The sequence below is a fragment of the Homo sapiens genome, chromosome 2, assembly GCF_000001405.40.
Source record: "Homo sapiens chromosome 2, GRCh38.p14 Primary Assembly".
NCBI lineage: Eukaryota > Metazoa > Chordata > Mammalia > Primates > Hominidae > Homo > Homo sapiens.
This window is the reverse complement of record NC_000002.12, coordinates 239,577,916-239,588,252: the sequence shown is the minus strand read 5'-3', so window position 1 is coordinate 239,588,252 and position 10,337 is coordinate 239,577,916. Positions and strand designations below refer to the sequence as shown.

Below are 10,337 nucleotides of genomic sequence, written 5' to 3'. Positions count from 1 at the left end.
CAGGAAGCAGCTCACGCCCCATCCTGATGCCACGTGGGAGGGGACGCTCTGCCTTCCTAGAGACACGGTCACATTTTCCCAGGAAATTTCAAGGGGTTGGGGAACTGTGGTTATTTCTTCCTACCACTGCGCAGAGCCCTCATTATAGGACACAGAGTTCAGTTTGCTCACATGCTGTGAACGGGCCAAGTGAACGCCAGCCCACTTCTTCCAAAAGCAGAACTTTACAGAAAGCAACGGGTGGGTTAAACAGAGAAGAAAACCAGCCGAGGAAGTGAGGAGAAGGTGACTTCGGGCGCTGGGGGTGTGGACGGCTGTCCCTGGCTCACGGCCCAGCAGGAGAGAAAATGCTGGAAAAGGCAGCAGCAGAGGGGAGAGAAGTGTCTCCCCTGTGACGTTCCAGGGACCCCCTGGAAGCTGGTTCAAAGTACAGATTCCAGAGCGTCACCCTCACCCCGTGAGTCTGGGGTCCCCCATGTTCCCAGTCCTAGCTCTGTGAGGGCACCCTAAAGCGAGTGGTCTCTGGGACAGAAGGAGACCCCCTCCCGCTGCCCCGACACCCCACCCAGCCTGACTCTCTCAGGCCTTTGTTCACTGGCTCCTGTGCCTGACCTGAAACCCACAGTCATGGCCCGGGGCTGTGTCTTTGACTTTTCACCTCTTTACTCCATACTGCCCTGGGCGAGCCCTCACCCCTTCAGAGAATTCCGAAATCATACCAACACCAGCATCCGCCCCTGAGCTGCAGAACCCCTGCCATCCCCGCCGCAGTCTCCTGCAGACTCTCCCCAGCACCGCCCCTTGGCTAGGGCACATGACCTGCCTTCACGGCACCCCGGCCTCCTCTCTGCACCCCCGCCTCCTCTCTGCTATTGCCCCCGCAGCAGCACGAGGCCCTTGGGTTCAGACGTGCACTCAAACCGAAACCATTCCTGGGGCTGGGGGTGCAGAGGGGGCAGAGCAGACAGGGGTCCTTCCAGGGCTCACTCGTGGGGCTCCACTTCCCAAGTGCCTGTCCTGTCTCTCTTCTCCTCCCCTCTTCACCGCAGGCCCATGCCGGTGTCCTGATCACCTGTCTGGGCTGTTACGTGCATGGGGAAAGTCTCGGCAGCTCTTGGACTGTGTTACTTCCCCAGGACTCTGGCCACCTGCCTGAGGGCAGACATGAGTCCTAAAATCTATGCCTTTGAGGACAGAGATAGAGGAACTGGCCGGTGAAGGTGTTGGTGCCACGGAGGCCTGGCGAATCCCATCGACGTCAATAAACTACTTGGTGGAGCCGTGGTCCAGCGACACCGTGCAGGCCTCAGCCAGGTAGCAAAGGATGTCGTAAATGGACGTCAGCTGCCCTCTTGGCAGGATCAGACCGCTGTCAACTCAAATCACCCAGAAGGACGGGACGGAGTCCAGACTTAGCCAACACTTCCCTCTGGTGTGTGGGCTGGAGGCCCCAGTTGCCAGGACGACCACACACAGGCCCCTGAGTGTCCTCTTGTGGTACACATGCCATCACCCTGGACTTTCAAGGCACCAGGTCCCAGTAAGAGGATGCACCTGCCCGGGAGGGCTGCACCAGATACCGAGGTAAGGAAGGAAGCCGAGATCTCTGACTTTACACTTCTGCAGAGGGCAGGAATAGCATACATGCCCCAAAACTCAAAGTGAGTGAAATGTCTCAGGGAACTTGGAATTTGGATGTTTGTGACCATTACTTAATGTCTGAATTTGCAAGCGCTTGGGAAAAATTCTTCCTTCTTAGCCTTTTTTTTTTTTTTTTTTTTTTTTTGAGACAGAGCCTCGCTCTATCACCCAGGCTATAGTACAGTGGAGCAATCTCAGCTCACTGCAACCTCCACCTCCCAGGTTCAAGTGAACCCCCTGTCTCAGCCTCCCAAGTAGCTGGGACTGCAGGTTCCCACCACCACACCCAGTTAATTTTTACATTTTTAGTAGAGACGGGATTTTACTGTGTTGGCCAGGCTGGTCTTGAACTCCTGACTTCAAGTGATCCGCCCACCTCGGCCTCCCAAAGTGCTGGGATTCAGGCATGAGCCACCGTGCCCAGCCTTCTTGTTAGCCTTTTGTATTTGCCCTATTGGGCATTTGAAGCTCTTAATGAGAAAATCAAATGTATGAAAAAGTTTGAAAATGCAGTTTTATATGCATAAAGGAATTTAATTAACTATGTTTATAAATGAAGTTGAGAATTTGAATTGTTCAACTCGAATTAATATAACAATAGTTAACTTCTTAAACATGATTGCATTTTATATAACATTTACTACATTTATAGACAGGTTAATATTTTTGAAAAGGCAGGTTTCTAGATACATAACTGGGTTATATCAAAGGTTCACGGAAGTATATGACTATAAATGGGTTTTCCTTTGGCAGGAACCCTGCTGCAGGCGTCAGAAAATCCGTGATGGATGGGAGGGGCGAGGGCTAAATGTTTTACTCTCCTGGACTCACAACCAGGTGCTTCGATTACACTTGTGAAAATAAGTGATTAAAAACAAACAAACAAAAACAATAAATACCTATCATGAGCATCCCCCTTTCCTCCTCAGAATTCCCCTGAGACTCCCCACAGGCTGCAAGGAAGGACTGAAGCCGCGTGGCCCAATGACTCAGGCTCCGGCCGACTTCTGAGACCGTCTCTGCGTTCTCCATGATTCAACAATGCCAGCTGATTCGTGGGCTCCTGGACACTCCATGCCATTTCCTCTGCTGGAGCGTCTCCACCCACCTGTCTGCTTGTTAAGTTGCCCCTCCAAATCCAGCCTGAAGTCACCTCCTCCAGAAAGGCTTCTGGGACCCTCTCACCTGTGACAGTATACCCCTCCTCCATCCCTGCCTGGCTTCCTGCAGACTTGAGTTTTTGATTCCTTGCCTGCTTCTGTGGGGGGTTCTGAGGAGCCAGGGTGTGTGCTGGCATGGACTGGGAGGAGCTGGTATGGGGTTTTGATTTTTCCCAAGGTGGCACTGCCTTGGCACAGCCTTACAGTGAGGGCATGAGCCACACACACCTGCCACTTCTAGGGCAAATCACGTCTCCAGGAAGGGCCAGCAGCAGGGAGGCTGACCAAGGAAGGGCTGGAGGGGGCTGCCCCCGCAGCTGCACTGTTACCCTGAAAGGGTGGGTCAGCTGTGGGGCTGGGGAGATGTTCAGGGCAGCAGGGGGGCAGCAGGGACAGTGCCTGCCCCTGGAGGGCTCCGAGCAGGTTGGGGGGCCCCTGTCAGTGGCTCTGAGTGAATGAAGCAGGGGCAACTACCATGGTGCCCTCCCCACAACCTACAGCCACAGAAAGGCTCTGAGAAGGCCAGAGCCTGAAACAATTTACCTGCTCAGAATCTAGATAATCCCACAGGCAGAAGACAAAAGGGAAGACAGACAACCACAACAATGTCCTGCTCAGAAGGGACAGTTACAGTGTCCTCTGACACTTATAGGAAATTACCTCGCTTTATGATTTACCTTGAAGCCCAGGGGAACCTTTCTCAGCCTGAGACCCGTCCCCCAGGTTCCCATCATGGTTCATGTGCAAATGCACACGGTGTCCCCCAGGACTGGCGGCCAGTGACGTAGGCAGAGTCCCTCCATGAGATGCCTGGGCGGGGGCCACCCATGGAGCCATCGGGGCCAACCACCTGACAGAGCAGCCACAGGCTCCCCGCACCAAGTCGGCAGCACAGGCAGGAATCGGCATTACCACTCAGGGCATGTGCTGGAACCAAGGACGGCGACGGAAAATCCCCCGGGAGATGGATACAGCAGGTGGAACCCCAAGAACAGGATGCACCCAGCAACCAGCCTTCTCCTGGCCCCGCTGTTGCAAGGGGCTCGGACCACAGCTCCCAGGAGATGCCACCCTCCAGGATACAGCAACAGTAACCGGGATGCCTCCTGAGCCCAGGCTCTGAGCCCGCTGTGCAGCAGCTTCCAGCGTGTGGAAGAACGGGAGCCTGACGCTGGCCTCTGTCAAGACATCTCCAAAGTGGGTGTCGAAACTTTGCCATGACACGTGGGGCACAGTCAGGACAAGCCACTAGCCACGTGATATGGGGGGCAGAAGCTGCTTACTCTGGACCCCGAGTCAAGGACACCTTTCTCTCGAGACTTCAGCACCCCATTCTCCAACTGACTTCCCTCTCGTGAGGGCAGGGACTCTGGAAACCCATCAGAGGTGCCCGGGGCCTTGGGTGGCCCTCCTGATGACCCCTTCCTGCCACGCATGCCTCGGAGCAGCCAGCTTCAGCCACCAGCTTTGGGACCCAGGCCCTCAGTTACCTGGGAGTCCCAGTTCTGGATTCTCCAGGCATTGGTAATGTGGAAGCTTCATTTTCAGAGATCACACATAGACTCACTCACGGGCACACACATGTGTACACACAGACCCATGGCTCCCTCCAGGCTTCAAGGGCCGGCCCTGAGCAGTCCAGCAGCCCAGCGAGGGGTCGGCAGCCTCTGAGGGGAGAGAGCGTCACTGTGACACCCGTGTGGTTTCATCTGAGAGACTCCGTGGATGTGCAGGGCTCACAGCACCGTCCCAGGCGCTCCTGGGTTTCATCTGTGCTGTTGTCTGGACAGTGGAGGACAGTCCTGCTCATCAGTCCATGCCTGGCCGTGGGGTCTGCCACTCTCTGGAATGTGCTGATAGGGTCTCCAGAGCCGCCCCACCTGCGGCTGAGCGACTCTGCAAGACCCTGCAGACACCCACCTGGCAGCTCTCACACCCTCCAGACATGCGCCTTCCATCTGCCTGGTCTCCACACTTGTCTCATCTCCCTGCCGACCACTCCTCTCAGATACCCTGGTCTCACCACCACTTTCTCAATGAACCCACTGCAGAACTCCACAGTCATGGAAGCTGGAGGTGGAACCAACGCGAAGGCCCGCATTCCCCCAGCCAGGCGCATCAGCAGGTCCAGGGGAAGGTGCAGGGTGCCCAGGCAAGGGCCCTTCGGACTGGCGTGTCGGGGTGGGACCTTCAGGGCCTCTTCCATAGTCATGCTGGTCTACTTGGAAAGATCTAGGAAACACTCAACTGTCAACCTACTATGACTAGAATGGCTACCAAACATGCTAACCCCTCCATGCCCAAGAGGGTAAGAAGTCCTCACACATACAGCCGGGGAGACTTAAATTACTGTGGCATGATTTCCAGAAGACAATTCTATGGAAGAATTCAGAGGCTTGAACATGGCCAAACTGTCCAACTTCAGGAAAGAATCTGAAATGCAAACCAAAATATATTTCACATTATTTTTATTTTAAAATTATTTCCAAATCTTGAGAACCTGTGGGAAAAAAAACACCAAAATATATTTTAAAAGATACTTACCACTATAGGATTTACAATAGTGAAAAACTGAAAATAATTAGATGATCCCTTTATTTAGGGAATTGTTGAATAAGTAATCCATTCATAACAAGAACTCACAAACCCATTTTAAACAATCATGGAGGGAGGATTTTAGTGACATGAGGGTAAAAAAACCTATCCCGTTAAGAAAAAGAAAGTGAAAAGCGTGATCCACATACATTTGCATCACAAACTCAATTATGAAAAGAAAAGACCCCACTTACGCTGCAGGAATGTGCAGGAAGGACAGAGATCGAATGCTAATGGGGCTTCCTGCTTGAATGGGGGGCGGAGGGGAGGGTGCGTCATGAGTGATATTTTCCAGCTTCTTTTAGATTGTCTATGCTTTCCAAACTTTCTACAAAAAGTTTACATTAATTTTATAATCTGCAGAACTAAAATTTGAGAAATGTTAACTAATGTTGCCTTGATTTTAAAACAGCCAATAGTCCTAGTTATAATTTCTTGTACATGTTTCTATTACAATAGTCACCCTACTCATGGTACTTAGTGAGAAGCAAAAAGTATGTAGAGCTGCTCCTGTTCACAGCTCCAATAACCATAATGAAAAAAGAGCAAAAAGCGTCCATTCAGAGCTTTCTGCAGATTAGTGATAAAAGTTGGCCCAGAAGAAACTCGGAAGATTTCCTCCTTGGTGATCAAGCCAACAAATGGAATGCTGAGAACGTTCACTCCTGGAGAAAACACTGCAGGCTGCCTTCCCTCTCCAGGACCAGGTGAGAAGGCCAAATTCACAAGACTCTACTGTGAACGCACCACCCAAAGCCCCTCACCTGGCTCCCTGCTCCCCGCCTTATCCCATCCCTCACTCAGAACCAGCCCCCGCCTTATCCCATCCCTCACTCAGAACCAGCCCCTGCCTTATCCCATCCCTCACTCAGAACCAGCCCAAACTTCCCCAGCATCAGCGCAGAACCCTGTGAGCTCCTTTCCAGGGTGGCTGGGAGGTGGGAGACTCTGCAGTGTTGTCACGTGAGGAGCTGCCTGCAGACCTTGGGGAGGAGCTCAGAAAGGTCCCCCACCGAGGAGGAGGCTGATGACACGGCCGAGGAGCAGATGACAGCCGGCAGGATGGACTGCGAAGGGGCAGCAGGTACCGAATCCCTGCGAATGGGAGCCAAGCCTCTCCCAAATCCAACTCGGAGTCAGAGCTCCTTGACTTCACCCAGATGGGCCAAGCATGCCCGGGGACTGGAAGGAATCCACAGCATGGGGAAGCCTTCGTCCAATCCGCTCGCCGAGACAGTGATGCTGGCAGGCGGCAATGGCTGGGCGACTACACCAAAGGCGGGCCAGTGAGGGGTAGTCGGCACCCTCCAGTCCTACCCCGGAGGTGCCACCCAGCAGGCACAAACGCCCCAGATCCCAGCAAGGTGAAGGTGCCAGTGCAGAGAGTAGGCCCAGCAGATGATTCCCACAGTGTGGGCTATGCTAGGTCCACAGTGGGGGCTTCCAAGTGCCCGGTATCCAGGGAACAGAGGAGGCAGTGCCTGGAGCTGAGACACAGACTTGGCCCTGGGGAGGCCTGGGCGGTGAACTGGCACTTGACTCCAGAACCCCAGGGCCTCAGGCTGTGTTCTGTGCGGCACCCTTTCCTCTCTGCATGGGTGCTTCCGATGGCCTCTGTTGCTTTCTTTTCCTTTCTTTTATTTTACTTCCTAGGCATTGCACAGGTAGTTATTTTACATTGTATATCTGATGATGTTAATTTCTTAAGTGCTGGAGGGTACATATCTACTGGATTCTGTGCTTTTTCTTTTCGTTTATACAGACTCCAACTCATTTTAGGTGATTTCTTTGCGTGCTTTCTGGTTTGTGATTATGAGTTCAGCTTTGGCCAAAGTGAGTCTGCAGGAACCCAGAGACCCTAAGTCACAGGTTCACCTCTCAAAGAGGTTGCCCTCTGGGCTCTTCTGGGGCCTCAGGCTCTGCCCACGCTGTAGGCCTCTCTGAGACCTGGTTTGACACACGAACTGCAGGCCTAAAACTTCATTTCTTATGCCCAGGGCTTCTTCGGCGTTTCCACAGGGCAACCAAAGTTTTCTTTCCTTTTTTTTTTTTTTGGAGACGGAGTTTTGCTTTTGTTGCCCAGGCTGGAGTGCAGTGGCACGATCTCGGCTCACTGCAACCTCCGCTTCCCAGGTTCAAGCGATTCTCCTGCCTCAGCCTCCCGAGTAGCTGGGATTATAGGCGCCCGACACCATGCCCAGCTAATTTTTGTATTTTTAGTAGAGACGGGGTTTCACCATGTTGGCCAGGCTGGTCTCGAATTCCTGTCTTCGTGATACGCCCGCCTCGACCTCCCAAAGTGCTGGGATTACAGGCGTGAGCCACTGTGCCCGGCCCAGTTTTCTTATTTACCTTTCTCGTCTCAACTCACTGCTTGTTTTTCTCTTTTCTTTAGGCATTCACTCACTTTATTGCAACTCCAGCAATGTTTGAAAAGTATTTTTCATTGTTCATCCAGGACCTAGTTGTATTGTAACAGATCAGGACACTTCAGTGCAGAGGGGAAGCCCTCCGCCCCCTCATAAAGAGGCCCTGATTCCTTATCTGTGACATTTAGAAACTTCCACCCTCCTGTGAAGGAAGCCACTTTTTAGATCTCTAAAATACACAGATTCAGACTCTGCTTGGAGCTTCTGCAATGAACAAGTCCAGAACAAACTTGGGAGTTGCGCTCTGGGCATTACCCAGAACTGGGAGACAAAGCACAGACATTGAAGTCCCCCTGTGCACAGCCCTCCCAGGCTGGAGTGCAGAGAGCAGTGCAGGGCAGCTGGTCTGCTCTGCCTCCTGTCCTGACACGGCCACCTGCGTCCTGCACCTTCCTGGTTCTCTAAGGCACACAAGAGCAGCTGCCTCAGGGTGAAACCTCTGCCCACAGACCTAAAGGAGGAACTTTAGTAAAAGCAGCAAATAGGCCTTTCTCCACTGATAGGGTTTGGCTGTGTCCCCACCCAAATCTCACCTTGAATTGTAATAATCCCCAGATGTCAAGGGCGGAGCCAGGTGGAGATAATTGAATCATGGGGGCATTTTCCCCCATACTGTTCTCATGGTCGTGAGTTAGTTTCTTGAGATCTGATGGTTTTATAAAGGGGAGTTCCCCTCCACAAACGCTCTTGCCTGCCACCATGTAAGACGTGACTCTGCTCCTCATTCACTTTCTGCCATGATTGAGAGGCCTCCCCAGCCATGTGGTAATGTGAGCCCATTAAACCTCTTTCCTTTATAAATTACCCAGTCTTGGGTATGTTTTCATTAGTAGTGTGAAAACAGACTAATATACATCCACCTAGGGTTTAAAAGGCCTGTACAGCAGAGCCTTCATCCTCTTTAACCAAATGCTAGCCTTAGACACACCTGCCTCTGAAAAGAGGCCTCTGCACTGCTGGGCTCCATCTGGCTGCAGGGGCCCTGACAGGGTGGCCACCGGAGCAAGGTCACCAGGATAGGCATACGTCAGGGCTTCCTTAAGGCCCAGCCTGGCCCCTCGTCCCTCTGCAGAGGGCGGCACATCTTTGGTCAGTGCCTGCTGCACACTTCCTGCTTCCCTGGAATACCCCTCGCCTGTGGGCGAAGCCTTGATCAGCAAGGTTCAAGGTCAGGCATGGCATGGCCTGAGCTCAAGGTCTCATGCCCGGGCCACAGGGGTCCAGGCCTCACCCAGGAGAACCATTGCAGACCTCAAGGTCAAACGTGCTGTTTGGAATCTAAGCCGAAAGGCCCAAAGCCACACGTCGCGCCCAGTGAAGCCCTCTCACTGTGTGTTCTGCCCTCCTCACCCCATCACCTCTTATTTCTCAAAGTTCCTCACTCCAGGAACTGAGGGCCTTTGAGAGTGCTTAATACTAAGAGCACCTCTTCCCCATGCAGGTTCAGAACAAGTTGGACATGAGATAAAGAATAAAACACATAGAACTCAAATTATTACTTACTCCTAACAAATGCCAAGGTGAAAGTCTTAGCTTTGTGTGGGGGCCAAATAACCTTCTTAATTGAACCCAGAGTAAGAGCCTCTGACTCAGGGGTGCAGGGCTGGACCAGGGCAGACATCCTAGCACCAGCACACACGGTGGGGCAGGAACCCTCAAGGGAACAGCGTCTCTGCAATCGGACGGCATCCAAGAGAAGCAGGTACGATGGTGGATTCAGTGAAGCAGACGCCCTCGCAATGTGGATGGGCCTCATCCAACCCATTGAAGACCTGAGTAGAACACAAAGGTGGAGAGAGAACCCTCCCTCTGCCTGCCTGCTGGAGCTGGAACACTGACCTTCTCTTGCTCTCAGGCTGGAAGTGTGCTGTCGTCGGCGTGCCTGGTTCTCGGGCCTCCAGGCTCTGGCTAGGGCTGCAGCACAGACTCTCCTGCCTTTCCAGCTTGCAGACGACAGGGTGTAGGACCCCTCAGCCTCTGTAATCATGCGAGCCCATTCCATTTCTTATAGCAATGCATCTCTAACTCCATTTCTCTGGAGAACCTTGACTAATACGGGAGAGAAGGAGGAGGGTCTGGGCCTTACAAGGCCCTGGCTCCCGTCAGCACACAGCCCAAGACAGTGACGGGATTTAGCTCAAGGCCAGGGGTACTTAGGGAAAATCCCGATTTCTGGAAATCTGAGAAATTAGAGATTTATCCCCATTTTCTACCCCCAACTGCATCATGAAATAAACATTTCGTTTCTACAAACGGGAACTCTGAATTCCAAGGCCGCATCCACCCGCCCCTTGGTGGGTTGCTCGTGTGTCTGGCTGGGCGGTGGCACAGGGGGATTTCGCAAGGCCTCAAAGCCCAGGCTCCCAGCTCCGCTCCTCCTACCCTTCATAGCCCGAGTGCCTGTGCTGGGATTTCAGGGCCTTTCTCCTACCTCTGAGATCCTTTGTCACTTTTCCAAGGAGATGGAAGTCTGGAATGAGGTGAGCCATGTCTCCATGGAGCACACTTTGTA

The 10,337-nt window shown here is 52.9% G+C and overlaps 1 long non-coding RNA gene across 1 annotated transcript; it reads right to left on the bottom strand.

The window, feature by feature from the left end:
- Window positions 1-2,158: 2,158 nt before the first annotated feature.
- LINC02991 (long intergenic non-protein coding RNA 2991) lies at window positions 2,159-9,952 on the bottom strand. Its single transcript, NR_172921.1, has 2 exons — window positions 9,329-9,952; window positions 2,159-5,234 (listed from the first exon to the last, which is right to left on the bottom strand). It is a non-coding gene; the product is annotated as a long intergenic non-protein coding RNA 2991 (long non-coding RNA).
- Window positions 9,953-10,337: the final 385 nt, after the last annotated feature.